The sequence below is a fragment of the Homo sapiens genome, chromosome 14 (genome assembly GCF_000001405.40).
Source record: "Homo sapiens chromosome 14, GRCh38.p14 Primary Assembly".
In the NCBI taxonomy this organism is placed as follows: domain Eukaryota; kingdom Metazoa; phylum Chordata; class Mammalia; order Primates; family Hominidae; genus Homo; species Homo sapiens.
Genome location: NC_000014.9, coordinates 57,972,220 through 57,992,110, shown reverse-complemented (window position 1 = coordinate 57,992,110; position 19,891 = coordinate 57,972,220). Strand labels below are relative to the sequence as shown.

The 19,891-nt window shown below is 43.4% G+C and overlaps 1 protein-coding gene across 1 annotated transcript in view; it reads left to right on the top strand.

The window, feature by feature from the left end:
* Positions 1–8,929: 8,929 nt before the first annotated feature.
* Positions 8,930–19,891, top strand: part of SLC35F4 (solute carrier family 35 member F4) — a 419,262-nt gene continuing 408,300 nt past the window's right edge. Inside the window, exon 1 of the mRNA XM_011536723.4 lies at positions 8,930–10,198. Coding sequence (XP_011535025.1) covers positions 10,135–10,198 — 64 coding nt within the window. The 5' untranslated portion in view covers positions 8,930–10,134. The remainder of the gene's footprint in view (positions 10,199–19,891) is intronic.

Below are 19,891 nucleotides of genomic sequence, written 5' to 3'. Positions count from 1 at the left end.
GCTCAGGTTTGTTAATTAGCAACATAAGGCATGTCATGAAAGCCAGAGGATCTGTATGGAAGTGTATCAGGAGACTCACATTGGTGGATTGTGCTGTCATTCTCACACTCAAGGTCACCCTCCAAGCAAGCAATCTAGATCAGGCAAGATGTTAATGAGCCTACATCAGGCAAGGGTGAGAAAAGTCTAAAGTGGATAGTGGAGGAGGGAGATGAAGAATATTATGATCTTGGGATCAGCTGGAACAGTAGAACTGGAACTTGTTCCACTAACCCTCTTGAATTAAGTCTTTGCAGAGACTATGGCTGGCCACCACCATGAAAGGGATTCTCTGATAGACTGAATTTAAAGAAGGGCACAAAAAACAAGCACAAGAAATGGATTGTACCTCCCTGTACACCACTCCAGATCCTCTTGCTCATGCCACTATTGTGTTTACCAGGTCTGTGCAGGTGTCAATCAGCTTTTGCATGGGTGCAGCCTGATAGAGACTAGCCTTGTGCTGTGGCTTTCTCACTTCTCTGACGCTGGACTGTCCTGACACCATGCCTTGGGAAGCACGTCAATACTAAGGCATGCACAGTTCAGAAGTACGAGGGAGTTGATATCTGTGAGGCCACCCTTGTCCATCAAGGGGGATGAGGATTGATGAATAACTGCTCTCTTTTCCTCTTTCAGGCAGACAGTTTTGAGTTGCGATTTATCAAGTTTCTCAGAAATCCTGTTGGAGCCAGTCACTTGTAACAGTGGCCACCTTGATAATGCATCCTCACTAATCCTTTCCCTCCTTCACTGTTCCCAGCTCCATCCTATACTCCTGGTCCCTGAGATCACATTTCCAAACAAACTACTGTGTTTAAGCTTTTGTCTCAGGTTCTGTTTTTGGGAGAATACAAACTAAGATAGACAGAGAGAGAGAGAGAAGAAGACAGGCTAGGCTAGGGTACAAAGCAAGGGAAGAAACTGTGATCTGGTATTAAAGTGCAGGGATATTTTGGGACATCAGAGCTTAATTTAGTACTATGATATTTCTAATAATGAAGTGACACATTTAGGCCACATGCTTCCTTGTTAGAAACTCTATAACCAGAGAATATAGCAATTTTAGAGCTGGAAGGATCCTTGGATCTCATTTTTAGCCTATCTTTTATTTTAAAGAAAAGGAAGTTTGGGCTGTGAATATATTCCAGTACATCTGATAAAAGGGATTACACTATGTCAAATCATCCATTACTAACAAAGATAACGATGAATATTCCCCCAAGTGTAAAATTATATATCTAAGAGTTTAGAAGACAGAAAAATAGGCAAAACAGGGTTAGGATAAGGTTGAGTGAAGGTTGACTTGTGCTCAAAAAGTATAAGGGCTGGGAGTATTTCAGAGAGACCAAAAAACCTTCCCAGGAGATAGATTTCTCTTGGAACTTGTTAAATTTTGGCCATGAAAGAAGGGAACTAATGCATTCTGCATGCCAAGCACTTGACATACTTAGCCATGTGAGGTAGGCATTATTACCTCAATTTCTATGTCAGGAAGTTGAGGCTCAGAGGTTAAATAACTTTCTAAGATGACTTATAATCCAAGTGCTTTTGCTTGTATTCTTTCCCTTCCACCTCACCATATTTCTTCTGCTAAAGAGGAGACAGAGTTTCCTCCATCCCCAGCAGTTCCAGAGTTTATAGGCGGCCTTGCCAGGGCTGTAAAAATAGTCCATTAGAAGTAGGAAGAGATCGTGGATCATTCCTTCTGGTCCCTCCATCCCAAAACTCCTATAAAAAGAAGAACTCGATTTTACCTTGAAGGCTAATTTAATATACTTTAGTTTCTACCTTTACCATTCCACTTCTCAGCTAAAAATTTTTACCAGAATGCTGGTTATAACTTGAAAACATTTTATTTAAAAAAAAAAAAAAGTTCCTACCAAAAGTAGAGTAAAAAAGAATTTTTTTTTTGCAGGCAAGATGATTGTATGAATCAGAGTTAATGAAAATATTATTTACCAATCAATGTCAAATTTAAAAAATCACATTCTTAGTGCTTTTGATAGGAATTTATTCATTTGTTCAATACGCTTTTTTTTTTTTTTGTCTAGAGCCACACTGTTCAGTGCAGTAGGAAGTAGCTACATATGGCTATTTAAATTTAAATTAATTTAAATTAAAATTTAAAATGTAGTTTCTTAGTCATACTAGATTCATTTCAAGTGCCCAAATAGCCACCACACATGGCTAGTAGCTCCCATATTGGACAAAGTGGATATAGAACATTTCCATCTTCACAGAAAGTGCTAATGAACAGTTCTGGCTATGCTGGACACATTGTTAAGTTCTGGGGATACAGCAAATGAATAGATATGGTCTCTACTTCATGAACTTACATTTTAGGGGAAAGAGAGAGACAAAAATATGCAAATAAATAAAATAATAATAGATGGTAATTTAGTCTTACAATGCAAATCTATTGTCTGCTGGGTAGACAATATTAGGAGCCAACTACTTCATACCCTGAGGTCACCTGAGGGATGTGAAGAAGCCATTGAGAAGAGCATTCAAGGCAGAAGGAACTGCAGGTGCAAAAGTCTTCAGAACTTACCATGTTTCAGTGAGGGGTAGAGAGAATGAGGGCTTTGGACATCCTGGGAAGAAAACTGGCCATCAAAGAAAGGAAACCATACAAGGAGGTTGTGGAGAACAGCTTCATAACGATATTTGGGAACAATAGTTCTTGAGTGTGCATTAAAATCACCTGGAGGCCTTCCTATAACAGATTGCTGAGCCCCACCCCGGAGTTTCTCATTCAGTGGGTCTGGGTAGGGCTTGAGAATCTGCATTTCTGACATGCTCGCAGGTGATGCTGATGCTCCTCATCTCAGGGTCACACTTTGAGAACCAGTGACTACCAGATTTAGTAGATGAAGAAAGGAAAGCTTGGAAAGATGACCTCACTAGCTCTAGTCCCACAGCTAGTTAGTGGAAGAGACAGAAAAGGCAGAGGTGGCAAGAGAGAAGAAGGCATAGCAGTAGAAAGCATGAGATCGTTTTCAAACTCAAATCTTCTTCACTGGGAGGAGACACGTGGAATCTGTGCACTGAGGAAATTTTGATGTGGTTCTAATGGCAGGCAAGTAGGAGCTCACCTTTGCGTGATTTATTAGGATCTGAGTTTGTTTATATATGGCTCATTTCAAAGGATTTATTAATCGAGAGCACGCTGGATATAGAAGCAAGTATATCATTGACTCAGCTGACTTGAGCCCTCTCCAAATTTTAAAAACCTTATCATATAGAATATGCCTGCTGTGTGGCTGCTTCGTGCCTAAGGCAGCATGCCTTGGAAGCGCTTGTGGATCAGCTTCAGATACTATAAAACATTCCATCACTTTTAAACATGACTGTCCCCTCCTCTCCCCACCCCCTTTCCTGATGGAAAGGCTACTACCTGTTTCACCGCAGGCTTGGGAGGGACACGTCATGATGACAGGTAACATTTGAACAGCTGCCTGCAGTTTAGTACCATGGTTCCAAAGATGGCTGCACACTAGACACACTAGAAGAGTGTTTAGAACTAACCCGCCCAGGGCCCACCCCTAGAGGTTCTGCTTTCATTGTTCTGGATTAAGTGCCATATAACAATATCTAGATCCCACTGTAGGGGTGATTGTGGTCAGCTAGCCTCTGCAAGACAAGTGAGAGAATGTGCCTGGCCTGAATTAGAGAAAGTCTCCCTGCTAAGCTCCTGGGCCTCTGGACAGGTCCTTCTCACAGTGGCCCTGGCTATTCTGGGAGAATGGGGGCGACCTTGACAGTCTCGGGAGAAAGTGAGGCCCAGGACTCGGCCCTGACAGTGGATCCTATTTGCCGAAATGGTAGCATCTGAGAAAGGACAGAGGATTTGAAATGAGGCGCTAGATTCCTCTTTCTGTGTCATTGGTGGCCTTATTTGGTGCTTTAACCAATGTAGATAGTGATGTAAAATGTGGGTTCTGGAGTCTGACTGCCAAGATTCCTAATCCCAGCTTTACCATATTTAGCTGTGCTAACTGGAGCAAGAAATTCAGTTTCTGCCTCAGCCAAGGGTCCTGGCAGGAAAGAGATGATATACTCAAATAATGTTACTGAAGAGAGTTTAACAAAGGGTGTGGGAAGGTTAAAGTAACCAGCGAGGGATTGTGAAGTCCCCAGGGACTAATAGCAGGGGAAGCCATTGTCACCTTTCTGCCTTCAGGGACAAAAGGGGCAGGAACAGGGTTACCTGAACCTAGGGAGAGCTGTCGTGTAGGAGGGGCCCACAGAACTGGAGCTTTGGCTGAAGAGGAGGAATACAGCCAGTGGTAAAACCGGCCCAACAGGGAGGGAGGAGGAGGGATAAATGGCCACACCTCTCTTCTGACTTTGCAGCTCAAGCCACTGCCTCCCATTAGCCCAACTCAACTGGAACCACAGGGCAAAAAGGCCCTACTGATGCAGTCACAGAGGCCAGTCTCCTGGGAACACAAAGCAGTACTAAGAAATGAGCAGAACACATATCACAGTCAAATTCAGTATTACCACCCCAAATCCAATAAGCCTCTGTGTTCTTGTCTGTAAAATGGGAATGCTAACAGTAATGGCATTTCCCTCGTAGGGCTGTTGTAAACATTAAATGAGATGGTGCATGTAAAGTCCTGAGCACAGTGTCTGGTCCATGGCACATGCTCCATTATGGCCACTGTTATTATTACATTACAGGTGACTACTTGGCCTGCAGGAAGGGACACCTCTTTTATGGACTGTAATCCTGACTCCAAGAGGCCTACAGGCAGAGCATTGCTCCACTCTTAGGCTGAGAGGCTCCTCATTGCAGAAGAATCCAGTTAGGCTTGGGTCTGGTCACACATATGGACTTGCAGTCACAACCAGTGAGTAAGACCCTGAGTCAGAGGAGGTGACAGCAGCACTCTCTCTTCTTCCTCACTCTTGTTTTTGGCCTTGTTGATGTTCGATATGTCAAGATAGATGAAGGCTTAGCCTGTCTGATGGACATGACCAGCTTTATTTATAGACTGAAATTCTTTAGGGTGAGCATCCCATGGTCCTGGTGGGTGATGGGGAATCACTTTCCTTCCCTGAGGAATGAGAAATGAGCGTGTGCATGGAGATTGGGACCACAGATTCAGGCAACAATGGCTTCTGCCACGAACAGTTTTTCTCACCTTCCTTTTCTATTGATAATCTCCTGCCAGCCTCACCATCCCAAGACTGGGCCCATAACCTGACCTGGCCACTCATAATTCTCTTGGAGCTGAGATTGACTCAAGGGCCCAGAGATGACAGTTTCCTCTTTAATGAAAGCCTATGTAGAAAATAATCTCTTGATCCCTTCCAGATTTAGAGTATTGGGAAGTTAAAATAAACAACAGAAAAAGAAAACTTTAGTTTAAATCTCCCAAATATCAACCACAGGACTTCTTTTTTGCTTGAGACAATATATGCATAGTGATTAAGAGAGCAGGCTTTGGAGTGCAAAGGCCTGGTTTCCCATCCTGGTTTGTCACTTAATGTGACCCTGGGCAATTTTTTCTTTTCTTTCTTTTCTTTTTTAGACAGGATCTCACTTTGATGCGCCGGCTGGAGAGCAGTGGTGTGATCACGGGTCACTGCAGCCTGGAACTCCTGGGCTCAAGCAATTCTCCTACCTTGGCCTCTGGAGTAGCTGGGCCTACAGGTGCATACTACCACACCTGGCTAATTATTTTCTATTTTTTTGTAGAGATGGGGTCTGACTGTGTTGCCCAAGCTGGTCTCAAACTCCTGGGCTCAAGCAATCCTCCCACCAGGGCCTCCCAAAGTGTTGAAACTACAGGCGTGAGCCACTGTGCCTGGCTAGATTTCTTTATCAAAACTCCTCTTCGTTTATCTGTGAAGTGGGGGTAATTGTTGCACCTTCTCCCCCAGAGCTCAGCAATCGGAAGTTATGTAGGAGTTGGAGTAGATGTCATGGGGATGGCATGAAGGTCATAGGGAGAGATTAAACAAAATCATGTATGATGTTGCTCAGCACAGCTCCTGGGACATAGGAAGCATTTCAACCCATTAGCTACTATTTATTATCTGCTTTTTTAAAGAACCTAAAATACAGAGATGTCTGTGGAAGTGCACAAAGCCTCTCCCAGCCCACAAAGTTCTGTGTGGAAAAGGTCACAGAGGTTTCAGCTGCTCTTCTCACCCCAAGATAGAGTCAAGGCCAGCGTTCGGATAGCAACTACAGTTTGCTTTAAAATGTAGCATGATCCAAGAAATAGAATTTGTCACGTTTAGTAGGATTCAGCCCGACAAGGTTTTGACTGATTAACCGTGTTTCCCAAGGTAAGAGAAAGTAATCACTCTGCCAGGGTCCCAGAAGGAACGAGGTCAAGGAGAGCTCAGTCCTTCTCTCTGTGTGATGGCCTTGAGAGAGATGGCTCTGAGAGAGCAGGCAGGAGCAAGCTGGGGGTCCTCATCTGGTCATACAGTGGAGATACTGTGATCCTGTTACAATCACACTGTCAATATGTCAGCCCAAGACCCAATCCTCTGGCTCTTGCTGAATGGGGAAGATGAAGCTTCCTTGGCCCAGAAGGAGCCTGGAGAGTCTGCTGCAAGGCGTATTCCCACTGCATAGATTGGATTCTTTTCTTTTGAAATGGCTAGTGTTCAAGAGTTCTTCATCCAGTTAAATTATTCTTTTCTTTTTGAGACGGAGTCTTGCTCTGTTGCCCAAGCTGGAGTACAGTGGCACAATCTCGGCTCACTGCAACCTCCGCCTCCTGGGGTTCAAGCGATTCTCCTGCCTCAGCCGCCGGAGTAGCTGGGACTACAGGTGCGCCACCACGCCCAGCTAATTTTTGTATTTTTAGTAGAGACGGGGTTTCAGCATGTTGGCCAGGATGGTCTTGAACTCCTGACCTAGTGATCCGCCCGCCTCGGCCTCCCAAAGTGCTGGGATTACAGCTGTGAGCCACCGTGCCCGGCCAAATTATTCTTAATGTTATAGCTGCTATTAGGTTGGTGCAAAAGTAATTGCGGTTTTTGCCATTAAAGGTAATGGAAAAAATTATACAATAGGAAATAACTATATAATAGGAAAAGAAGACACAGAGGAAATCATCTTTACCACCCTGCTACTCCTATAATGTGAATATTACATTTCTTCTTGTTCCCTTCGGGTCTCTGCTCAGATGACGACCTGGTTTTTATATAGATGAAACCATTACAGAAATTCCATATTGGATTTTTACTTTATTAAGCTTTGGAAACACTTGTCTCCTTTTTATTTTCCACGGTAAGAAAAAGTGTGAGCCCTCTGTCTGAGTTTGGCAGGGCCAGCCTTGCTCTGGAAAGTGCGTGGCCCGACATCCAGCAAGGCCCCAGGCAGTTCTGCTCAGGATCCTCCTGCTTCCTACGAGCTGGAGACAAGCTGGCGGTGTTTCTCGAGCGGCTCTTCTTAAGCCGGGTTAGTGATTCACAAAGTGATGATTGTTGCTTTCAGAGTTGTCCCCTGCTAGATCCTGTTCCCTCCCCACTGCCAAACCCTCTCACCTCAGTTGTGAGGACATTTTAAAAGAAACTGGGGGTATTTTTAGGTGAAGGAGCTCCATGGATTGGCATTTCCATCATTTTAGAAATTGCTACTTTGCTTTGTGTATAAAATTTGACTTTACTCTCTTCCCCTCAGTCTTCTTGTTCTTTGCCTTTCTTCAAAATAGGCATCTGGAGGCTTCCAATCTGAATATCAGATCCTGTCATCTCTGTCGAGCTCCAAATTGTCCTGGAAGCATAGTTCCATAGCGAATCTCTAGCCTGCCTTTCCCGCTGAGAAGAGACACATCTTGTAGATTTATTCTGGCTTTGGACACTTAGGACCACCCTACCCCTGGGACAGTGGTTGTGGCAGTAGCAGTTATACCCACTAGAGAGCTAATTGCCTGATGATGTGGGGCCTCCTGAGAAAGCTGGAGAAGGGACCCTGGGCTGATAGGCCCCTAGAAATAGACTCTTGAACAAAGGAGGGTGAACGCCTCCTATTCCCTTGCAGAAGAAGAGACTACCAGGAAGGCAGGGCGCTCACCCTGCCATCTGGCTGAACTCTGCCAAGCTTCTGGATTCAGAATGAACTCAATAAAGGGGCCAGCATGTGAACCCCAAGTAGGTGCCCCGTACATCACTCCTACTGGCCCCTGAAAAGCTTGCTTTCCCCAGAGGTGGTGATAAACCTCAGGGCCCAGAGTGGTTGAGTTTTTTCTTTTCTTGAGAGGCTGGACATAAGTCTAGTTTGTCTGAGACAGCCAAGTTTATGCGTGTTATCCTTGCAGGTTTATTAATAATTCCCCTGTGCTCTCAGAAGCATAAATGATGTGATATAAGTGATATGGTTACCTTAGGTTTTGATGATCCCTGTATGAGACTAAGATGTCTAACACTGACTGAGTAAGTTGTCACATTTGGAGGAAAAAAGTCTGTTTTCATGGAAATATCTATGAATCTGAAGTTCAGAGACAATGGCAAAGAGGTCGCCACAGTGATGCCAAGCCAGGAAGACTGGTGTCCCTCTGCTCTTGCCCATGAGACTGTAACTCTAAAGCCAGACTAATCTGTATCAAAGTTGTGAGTTGTTTTTTTCAGTTTCCATGAACCCCAGGTTTCAAGTTTTGTAACCTGAGCATGCCCAGATAAACCCCGTATGCAACCACAGGAGAAACTTAAGTGCTCAGACCAAGGATGGGGACCTCATTAAGAAGCAGATATCACAAGGCATGATCCATGATCCAATCAGATCAAGCCCTGGCATCACTCCATGGTATGATCCAGTCAGATCACACCTCCTGACATCACCTCACTGCAAGATCCAATCTGATAATGCCTCATTGCCCTCTGCCTGTAAAACCTCTTCTAGCCCCCAGCTTAGGGAGACAGATTTGAGCCAGACTCCTCCTGTCTCCTTGCTTGGCAGCCTTGCAGTAAACTTTTCTTTTTACAAAAGGCTGATGCCTTGGTGTTGGCTTTCCATTGCACGTGGGCAGACAGAGCCAGGTTGGTTTGGTAACAATAGCAGAGCCTGAGCAGCAAGAGCATCCAGCGTCTGGGGGCGGAGCCACAGCAGTGCCGGAAACAAGAGTCCTTGAACAGGGCCAGCAGCAGCTGGCGGTGAGGATTGGCAGTCACCTATTTCCCATAAATGGAGAGAGAGGAGCTGATTGAATTAGGATTCAAAAAAGACTCAATGCGGGTGAGGCCCATGTAATTTTGGGGTGGTACTCAATGTGGTGACTTTCCAAGTAGCCAGTGTGTCCTCCAGAAGCAAGGGTATCATTTAAATAAGAGTGCAGGCACGTTCTGCACATGTATCCCAGAACTTAAAGTATAATAATAATAAAAAAAAGAAAAAAGATTTTTTTTAGAAGAGTGCAGGCTGTGAGATTTAACGACCCCACCAGGACCATAGCACCTGTCTTCTGAATTCTAGCACCATGTTCTTTCCATTCCCAACAATTATCGCTCATGATCTGGCTCCCCTCCTCTCTGCTGGCTAGCCCCAGCTGCCCTTTGCTTCTGCTCATATTCCCCCTCTTGGCTCTCGTTGGCTTTTCTGAATCAGAGGCAGCATAGAACAACCCTTCCTCAACACAACAATGCTGGTTCATCAGGGAAGTTGTGAAGCAGAACAGCTGTGGACATAGCTGGTGCCTGGAAGCCCTGTCGGCAGTGTCCGGCTCTGTTTTTGATGAGTGTGTACTTTTCAGGAGTCAATACCTATAACTTTTTAGCCACACGGCATCATCAGAACATTCCGTTGCTGTTGGCTGTGGTGGGGTTCTGGAAGCCATTTTGTCAGGCACAGCGTTTCTGTTGCCCTGGCTTCCGACAACTCAGCATTCCCAAAGCACACTCTGTCTCCTCCACTCATAGCTAAAAAATCTGCCCTTTAAAATGTCTCCTCACGAAGTAGGAAGCGCCACTTTTGACCGTGTCTGCTGACATGGTTTTTGATCTGGGAAAGGGGGTGAGGAGCCGACTGGAAGCATCACTTTCTGGGATGTCAGAGTCTCCTTGGAAGAGTCCTAATTAAGGACTCAGAATGATTGACAGGTGGTGGAAGCTCAAGAAAGCACACTTGATATGCAGCAGAAGACAGTCTGTGAGTTGCAAAAAACCTGGCAATTGGAGACCTTGAAAAACTTTTGTAAGTAATACTATAATTTTGTTCTTTAGCTAAACATTTATAAAAAGGCTCTTAAATGTCTGCCAGATGAACTCGGAATGGACATTGTTTGTCTCTCTTAAATGGCATATAATTTGGTAACAAGTTTATTATTTCAAATATAATTGAATTTATTTTCCGAACTATATACAGTCTTGCTGAAGTACAGTCTTTGAAGGTATTCCTTTGGGGTTAGGAATCTGCAAATTGGGAAGTTTGATTTACCACCGTGGATAATAAAAGTCTGACAGGAAGGCAGCTCTCCAAAATGAGGGGATGGAGAAAGAAAATTAACATTACAACATTCCTCCTTAGCTCTGCACTTATACATCCTCTATCCCACTTCATTATTTTGAGATGAGAATGAAGTCATTTTAAAAAAAATATTCAAATTACATGGCTACGAAATCCCATCCATTAGCGCAAGAACAGCCTTTTTCCCAGCCTCACCATGAAGACGCTCAGACTAGTCTACCTGAGCCTCAGTTACTTCAACTCTAAAATGGGGGTAATATCAATAAGCACCCAAGCACCCATTTCCCACGCTGCAGAGACGGTGCTAAGTTTTTCACGTATATTTTCTTGTCGAATCAGAGCAATGTTATCAGTCTCTGCCACGTGGGAAATGATCACTAAATATTATAATTCTCCTCAAGCACAGTGGGATGGTCTGGTTACACATGTTCAGAGGACAGAAAACAAGAAACCAGTTCAGAAAACCAGAAACCAGCGACATTTTTGCTGCTACAAGGTGTCGCTGGTGTTCCCAAGTGCCCGGGCTGTTGTCTTTGGCTTCAGTGTGGGAAGGGAGCTCAGAAGTTTGGCAACAGCCTTCCAGGTGTAGGGAATAGAGGCGAATCCTTCTTCTCCATTGATGCATACAGCCTTCCAGGTGTAGGGAATAGAGGAGAATCCTTCCCTATTGGTTTGGTTGTTGACAACACTCTAGGCCTGGGATCCGAATAACACAGCTATTTTAAAGCACCTTCCAAAAGAACTTCCTGTGATTATGGAAGTATTCTATATCTGGATGGTCCAATATGATAGCCACTAGCCACATGTAGCTATTTAGTTTTTGAAATATGGCTAGTTGTCTATAGAACTCAATTAAACATTTTATTTAATTTTAATTGATTTAAATTTAAATACTAGTTGCATGTAGTTAGTAGGTACCATTTTGAACAGTGCAGCTTTAGGGATACAGCTTTCTTTGCCTAAACCACACATACATGTACACAAACACAGCCATTTTCTTGATGTGTACGCCCACAAACCAGGTGGAAAGGTCAGAAGGGGTTTCAGAGTCAGCCACATGCTATGCTTGAAATTCACTCTCCACCAAGACCAAAGAATCAGCTCAGGTTCTTTCTGCTGCTTCTTGCTGGGGCTGGAGTTCAAGCTTTATAATACCTGGCAGAGAAGCTGGAAGGATGGAACACACTAACAGCCCAGAGGTGCTGCAAGCCCAGCCTTCCTCGGCAGGACCCCACCAGAACATTTTTCTCTCAACCTTTCCAAGACACCCTGTTCAGGCAACAAGACTGGAGGAAGTCCCATTTGCCTCCATCCTAACACCCACCTTGTTTCTAGCCTCAGGGTTCCTGACAGCTAAAATTCCAAGTACCTTAGTCTCAAGGTCCTTAAGAGACCTTCAGAAAAATAAAACCATCTAAGATAGGTATATTTTTCTAGGTCTAGGCTGTTCAGTCTTGGCCATAGTCACATTATTACAATATGATCCCATTTAAACCTCATAACAACACCCTAAGGAAAGTATTTGTTTCAGCCTAGACTCTAGTCTAAGCAGAGTCTGATACAATAGCTTTTGTCCAGGTAGTTTATTTGGTAATGGAATTGGAGAAATCAGGTTTTAGGAACCGAGTGGGTGAGGAAGGAAGGAAATAAAGCAGTCATGTGTTGGTAAATGTTTATTAGCCAACTTTTTGGAAAAAGCATTAACCCTGATTATGACATTTACTATTTTCCATGGTGTAAATGCTCTGACCATGCCCAATTTCCATTGCTAAATGTGGAGTTGGGGAAAGATACGCACAATCAGCTCCCCTGAGTCAGTGTCAGCTGACTCCAGCAACTCACAGGGAAAGCCAGTGCAAAGGCATATAAATGAATTGGCTACTGCTGTTGCTGATTGCTGCTCAATTCTGAAGACACTTCTGAGGAATCTTGGGAAGTGCATCTTAGCACTGGCTTCCAGGGTCAAAAGGAAGAAGCCTTTAACTATCAGTTTCCCTCTTGCATTGGTCAAGGTTAGCTACGTGGGCATTAAGTTCCCTGCACTCCTGGGGTGTGCATGCATGAAAGCTGAGTATTCTTTGCATGGTCTAGTAGCTTCAGAGGAATCCTGAAGCAGGGAATGAGAGGTAAGAGTTTTGTGGCTCAAGACAAGGCACTACCAGGTTGTTTCTGCATGACAGTGGCTTGTGTGGAACCAGTCACTGTGACACCAGCTGGAATAAGAATTGAGACTGAGAGAAAACGAAGTGTTCAATATAGTCCACCTCTTGCATTACTCATATTGGCTTCTCTTCCCTCCTTTCTTTCTCACATGAAGTCCAATCTATCATAGAGTACCCTTGGAATTGCCAGCCAGCTACAATATCTGCAAACTTCAGGTTTAGTGAACAAGCTGTGATCTCTGCTGCTGCGGTTGTTTTCAGAGGTCATAATTAATAACCACACTTCCCTCTGCTGTGACCCAATCTTTATTTTCCTCACTCTCAGCCAGCCTTCATTGTTATAGGTTGCTTGCCTGGTGGATTGACCCAGACATCCATCTCTGAGGGATGGAGTCCTTATCTAACTTCTTTTGTCCAGTCATGGTTGTTGCAATTGTCTGTTCACAATATGACAGTTAATAAGACCAGCAGATGTCCTATGAATCCCATAGGTTCCAGACATACTCCTTCATGCTCCCATTGTATGGTAGCAACCTTGCTCTTTCTGGCAATGAGGACTACTCACTTCCACCAATACAGTATCTCCTTTCTTTGTTGGTTTAGAGGCAAAAGGAGCAAACGATGACCAAGAGGTAGTTTCAGCTTCAGACTCAGTGGAACCTATTCTGTGTCCCCTGATTTTCAATTTCATGGATCAGGATGTATATTTTGGAAGAGCTTAGGTTTGCAGGGTGAGAAAACATAAATTCTGTAAATGGTTCACTGTAAATAAGGTAATAGAGACCAAAACTACTTCCACCTTTTAATTTGTTTACCTTTGTATTCTAGTTATTAGTCTGGCACATAAACAGCATTTTGGAAAGCAGTGTTCCAACCCTACAGGTTAGTGTGCCTGAGCTGGTGTCACAGCTGAGCCTTTAACAAGCCATGTATACCATTCTGTTAGATGACGTTAAGACCAGAAGATCCTACGGTCATGTCTACATTAGCCCAACTTCTTCACCATAAATTGAGTCACTTGGTCTGAAGCAATATTGTGCAGGATACCATGCAGATAGGGCAGATATTATGTAAGCATTTGGGTGGTGGGGCTGGCATAGGCACTGTGGGCAGGAAGGCAAACCCATATCCAAAGTATGTGTCGATTCTATTACATACAGATCACAGCTGTCTTCAGAGTAGAAGTGGTCCCATGCCATGAGGTGGTTGACCTGTCTCTGAAAGGGATGATGCTCTATAGAGGACCCTGTGTCAGGCTTTTCTCAGTAGCAGATTGACTTTTAATAGTGAAACAACTAGATCAGCCTTGGTGAGGGATGCCATCCTTTTGGTCCCACAGAGAACTCTTATTCCTCCCAGCAAAGAGCATGTCTCCTCAGAATGGCGCCCACTGATGGGCATGAATGCACGATACAAAGATTTGTATACTTCTGTGGGTTTATTCACATGCCCTTTCTCCAGACTTTCTTTTCTCGAATCTTTCATTTTTGCTCCTCCCTGAATCCTGACCAAACAACCAAACCAATTACCACTGGCCAAAAGTACAGGTATATATGTACCTCAGACCCCTTCTTCCTCCACACCCAGTGAACCACCACATTTTGTAGTCCCAGTTCTGTCCATTGAGAAGATTTCCTTTCTCCACTGTCTTTCGGGGCCACTCCTGCCTGGGGGTTTAGAGCAGAAGTAGTGCATTTATAGTCGGCACTCATCTACTGAGCAGACCCATCTATGAACTGGGCCTGAGAATCTTCCTCTTCCATTGGTGCGACTGGAGGAAAAATGTCAGTAAAACAAAGGTTAAGTGCCATGAGACTTGGGATCAGTGGTTGATAAAATTAATTTCTGCCTTTGGAACGTGCTTGAGTTTGATCCTGAATGTACCATTCTGAATGAATGTACCATCCCGAATTCTACAGTGATGGATTACAGCTGCACTCAGGTGACCATATGATTTGATGGATTGTAGTCAATCACTTTCTATCAGTTCCCAGTAGCTCTCCAGGAGGGTTTTTTCCTCCAAAAGACAAACGTTTCTTTGTCACAGAAGGCATGGTATTGCTCCAGAACCCTAGATTCTCCTATTGGGTCTTGTCAGACTCGATACACCATCCTTAGCTTCTGCGGATGTCTCTAGCTCATGATGTATCCATTGGGCCATGTGGTTCAAGCGGCAGAGCAGCCTGCACCACACTTCATCTGCTGCAGTCCTCTTTTTCTGTAACCCCACTAAAAACTACATTTATATAATTAAATCTAGTTATATAAATTAGAGCACTCAAATCCAAAAAAAATTCCCCTAAGCACTATATCTTTTTCATGGTGGTCAGGATTACAAAGTACTGTAGTATTTTTTCCTTCACTTTAGGTAGGATTTAACCAGCATATCCCAGATCACTCTATCTCTAAATACTTTAGCAATGTGGCAGGCTCTTTAATCTTTGTGGGGTTTTTCTCTCACCTCTTAGCACATATATGTCTTACTGAGGCATCTAAATTAGTTTATTTCTTGCTCCCTAGGTGTAATTGGTATTGATGTTATCCATATGGTGGACAAATGTGATGTCTGCAGAATGTCAAGACAATCAAAGTCTCTGCAGACTCTACTGTGAGAGAGAACCCTCAGATAAGACATAATGAATGCATACTGCTTTCCTTTCCATGAAAAATGTGAACCTCTTTTGATCTTCCTTACTGATAAAGGTTGAGAAGTATGTACTTGCTAGACAGTGGCTATATACCAAGTGTCACAGGCTGAGTTGATTTGTTCTAGTGAAGGCACTATGTCTGTCACAGCTACTGAAATTTGGGTCATCATTTAAGTTCATGGTTGTCCATGGTTCTCTGCCATGATCTATCTGGTTTTCACAGGGAACAAGCAGGTGACTTGATGGCAACTGCCAGCCCTATGTGCTGTAAGTCTTCAATGATGTCTCTAAGTTCTGCAAGTCCGCTTGGGATGTGACATTGTTTCTGATTTATTATCTTGGCTAGGTGTGGGAACAGTTTCAGGGGCATCCACCTAACTCTTCCTGTTACAATGACTCTTATTACTTCATAGGTCAGGAAATCAATGTGAATGTTCTGCTAGCTATTAAGAAGTGTATTGTGATTATACACTTATAAACAGAATTTCATTTATCATCTGGCCTCCCCCTGCCCCCAATCCTTCCAAGGAATACAATTGCTTTTCAAGTAGCGCAGACCTAGATATTTCCCTTTCCCCAGTATATCATTGCCCTAGCAAATGGACACATGTACCTTTGGGGAAGGTTTAGCAGGAATATTTATTTTATTTATGGTGTTGTTGCTGTAGGTTCCTTCCTAAGCAGACCTAACCTTCCCTTAAATCAGTGGGTTCTAAGTCTCTGTACTGACTTAGATTTGGAAATGAGGTGAGAGACCATAGTTTCTAATTATTGAACTCATGCAGGTTTCTACACTCCTGCTCTTTCATTTTATAGAAGTCAGGTAATAACTCTGCTCTACTCTCATCTATCTTCCCTCCTTGCAACACTACAATCACTACAGATCCCTGGTATTCAAGGCACCCTGTTGCCACTATAAGTCTTGCTGACCAGTATGATAATGACATTCACCTTGCCTCTGACAATTATGCACTACCATTTGCCATTCCAGAATCCTTTTAGTTCTACACTTATTCTATAGAGCCCATCTCAATGGCACCTTTTTCTCAATTTTCAACCACAACCTTCAAAAGACATCTAACCAAGCTTTTCAAATATTTTAGGGCTCCTCTCTGCGGTGCATTCTTTATTGGCTTAATGAAGAGAATGTTTTCTGGGCCATCTAGATTACATTCATTTGGTGGGTTTTCAGGTCTCACATAATATGTCCATTCTACATTTCCATTTTTCTGAAATTTTCGACTCCCTCCTTAACACTCTGCCAAAGCAGTGCCAACATCTCCATCTCATTTACTGGAGGTTATATAGTGTCCAAGCTGCAATGAACCAATCCAGCAGTGTGTTAGAACAATCTCCAGGTGTCCCATACAAAAGCATTGTGTGAGCTTTTCCCACGAGTGGTCTTTCTTTGTAGAAGTGAAGAATGAAGCTAAGGCATCTGGGAATGTGTGGGGCCCTGAAAGCCTAATGATGGAACCCCAGTAGTTTACTTCTTAAGAAGCAGAAACTTCCTTCAGCTTACTAAAAGAGGTAGGGTTTGGTATCAGGGTAGCCCCATCAATTGATGGCTTTGCCAGTGGAGGGGAAGCCACCTGTTCCTGCTACGTAGGATTGTAGCAAGCCTCTCTGGGACTCTGGGAATTGCAAGAAAAGTGGTCAGTGTTACCAAATAGTCACCTCAATGATCAACTCTTTATGTAATAAACTCCTGTGACTCATGGACAAGCACCTGAGAGCTTTAAAATGGCATCATTGTTTTGGTTAGAGAATACATTAGCTGAAAGTTATTTACTTTGAGAATCTTGAATGAATTACTGCTAGTAATTTGCATATAAATGGAGTCAAGTAGTTGTAAACCACATTTCTCCTTCCCTTTGCAGTCCTGAAAAGTCAGCCTCTGAGGCATTAGATTTTGATGCCTAGCTAGGGTTAGGAAATATTTTTATATGGTCCATCAAGCATAATGATGATAATGAATTCTTATAAGGTACTTACTATGTGCCAGGCACTTTTTTACATATGTAAAATCTATTGAATCCCCACAACCCTGTGAAATAGATATACTATTCCTATCCTCCTTTTACAGATTTTCCTTCATAATCCTTTTTTCAACACTTCTTAAAGGTATCACCATCAGTGAAATGAGCAGGATTGGTGGGGGCTAGGTCTCCCACAGGAACCACCCAGAGGATAAGTCCTGTAACTGCCCATTCTGAAGCTCTGTCCCCTGAGTACCCTGAACCATTTGATGTCTTACTTCTCATTTATCTTTCCCTTGGATCTAAGCAAGCAGTAAATATTTAAGCTGGTAGATACTTGTCTAGCAGCCTGTCTATGGTAGATTAAAGAGGGCCACAGGTTAATTGATGTTCTTCCTATTGAGAGATGGAGTCTAACTCCCCATCTTTTGAATCTGAGCTGGCTTTAATGACTTATTTCACTAACATAATGTGGTCAATGTGTTGCTCTGAGACTTCTGAAGCTGAATCAAAAGAAGGCTTGCAGCTTTCATCTGGGTTTCTGGGGAGTACTGAGCTACCAGGTAAGAAATTTGACTGCACCAAGATTGCCATGTTGGGGAGGCCTTGGGTAGGTGCTCACTTGACAGTCGCAGCTGGGCCAGTCTTCCACGCAACCCTACCAAGGTGCCAGCCATGTGAATGAAGCTGTTTGGGTCCCTAAATGAGCCCATTGCCAGATGACTACCACCAAGTGACCTCCATTGAAACCACATGAAACAGAAGAATCACCCGTCTAAGTCCTGCCTAAATTCCTGACTCAGAAAATCATAAAATTTAATAAAATGGTTGATGTTTTAAGCCACTAACTCTTGGGGTAGTTACTACACAGCAATAGACAACTGGAGTACTCTCCGTTTTGGAGAGTGATGGTGATAGTGGTGGGGTTGGAGATGACAGAGGGTGTGGTGGGGCAGTTTGGGCTTCAGGGAGTATATACATACATACCTCGAGATGTTCTGTTACCCTCATAACTGTGTTCACCACTGAGTTTGTGGCAAATAAGAAGAGAGAATGCTGATGACTTTCAGTTCTAGACATGGATCCTACTTGAGGTCTGCTTATACTTCTTTTCTTGCAGCCATGAAACACTCCAATCCCCTCCCCCTGGTTTAGGTGATTTGTAGTGGGTTTCTGTTATGTGCAACCAAAAGAGCCTAAATTAAGACTCTCTAATGTCCCTCCCAACTCCATGTCCCAAGTCATATCCCATAATGCAAAAGGCTGTGATTGGGCCACAACATTTATTCCCCGGGTGACAGCATGCCCTTCCTGCTCCTTATAAGAAAACCTCCAGCAGGAAAACAGAACCACAGAGATCTGTGCCTCTCCCTTAATCTTTCCCTAGAAAATTGCTATTATAATTTTGGGAAGAAGGTAAGGTGTGTAGACCCAATTGAAGTGGTGATTTGTGGTTGCAATCTATAATTACTTCTTGAGACGAGGAAACCTAGTGAGTGATTACAAGCAGCCTCCTGGGTTCTCTGGCTGCCTGAAAGTTATGTCTTTCATATCCTCCAAGGCAATGCTTACATAAAGACCAATTATTCCCATATAATTACCCACAAAGAAACTTCCTGGCATGTAGCTGAAAAAGAAAGTATCACCACCATACAACAGGTAATGAGAATAGGGCAGAATAGAAGCTGTGGGCATCAAGGAGCCTGAACTCTCCCCAGCTCAAAGCTGGATGGCTAAGGGGACAGTGGTACTGTTTGCATGGGGCTTAGGGAACAGCTGATTCAAGTTCTATGTGTCTCATTTTACTAATCTAAAGAATGACTTTAATATTAGTACCTATTGCAGAGCAGTGTTGTAAAGATTAAATGACATGGTATATGCAAAGCATTAAGATCAGCATCTGTCACCCAGTAAAGGAACTCACAGTGAGCCTTCTCCCTCGGCATTGTATTCCATGTCCATGTCAAAGGCTAAGTATAGGGTTTTGTCTACAGTGGTGGGTAGGGAAATGATTAACCTTCCATATGACTAGAGCATCCAGAAGGTACGAGAATGGAGGGGAGGATAAATGCCATGAGTGTGGCTACTATGCTCTCACTCTCCTGCCTGGCTGGGGCCATGAAGATGATTTGGCTGCTCTGGGAGAAGAAAGAGAAATGAGACCACTAGGCTGAGAGCCAGGAGACTGGGTTTTGGTCCTGGCTCTGCTATGAATCAGCCCCAAATCTCAGAGCCAATCAATAACTCCAACCCTTTGAGCCTCTGATTCTTTTCTATAAAATGAAATGTTAAGGTTTTTTTTTTTTCCACTTCAGCATGATATTTTGATATAGTTCTTTCCTTTTTTTCCCTACCAAAGCCACTTACTATTTAATTACAGTATGTTCTGGTAGTTTATCTCAAAAATTTAGCTCAAATCTTTCCTGTTCTCTCCATCTCTTCTGTCACATTATTTGTCCAGGTCACCAGTATCTCCACCTGGACCAGTGCTGTAGCCTCTTCACTGAGCTCCCTGCTTCTGCTTCCATCCAAACTCTTTCCATGTAGCCTCCAGAGCAATCTGCTAAAAAATACCACTCCCCAGCTAAACACTCTCCCTATCATTTTTTCATATTTAGAACAAAATGAAAC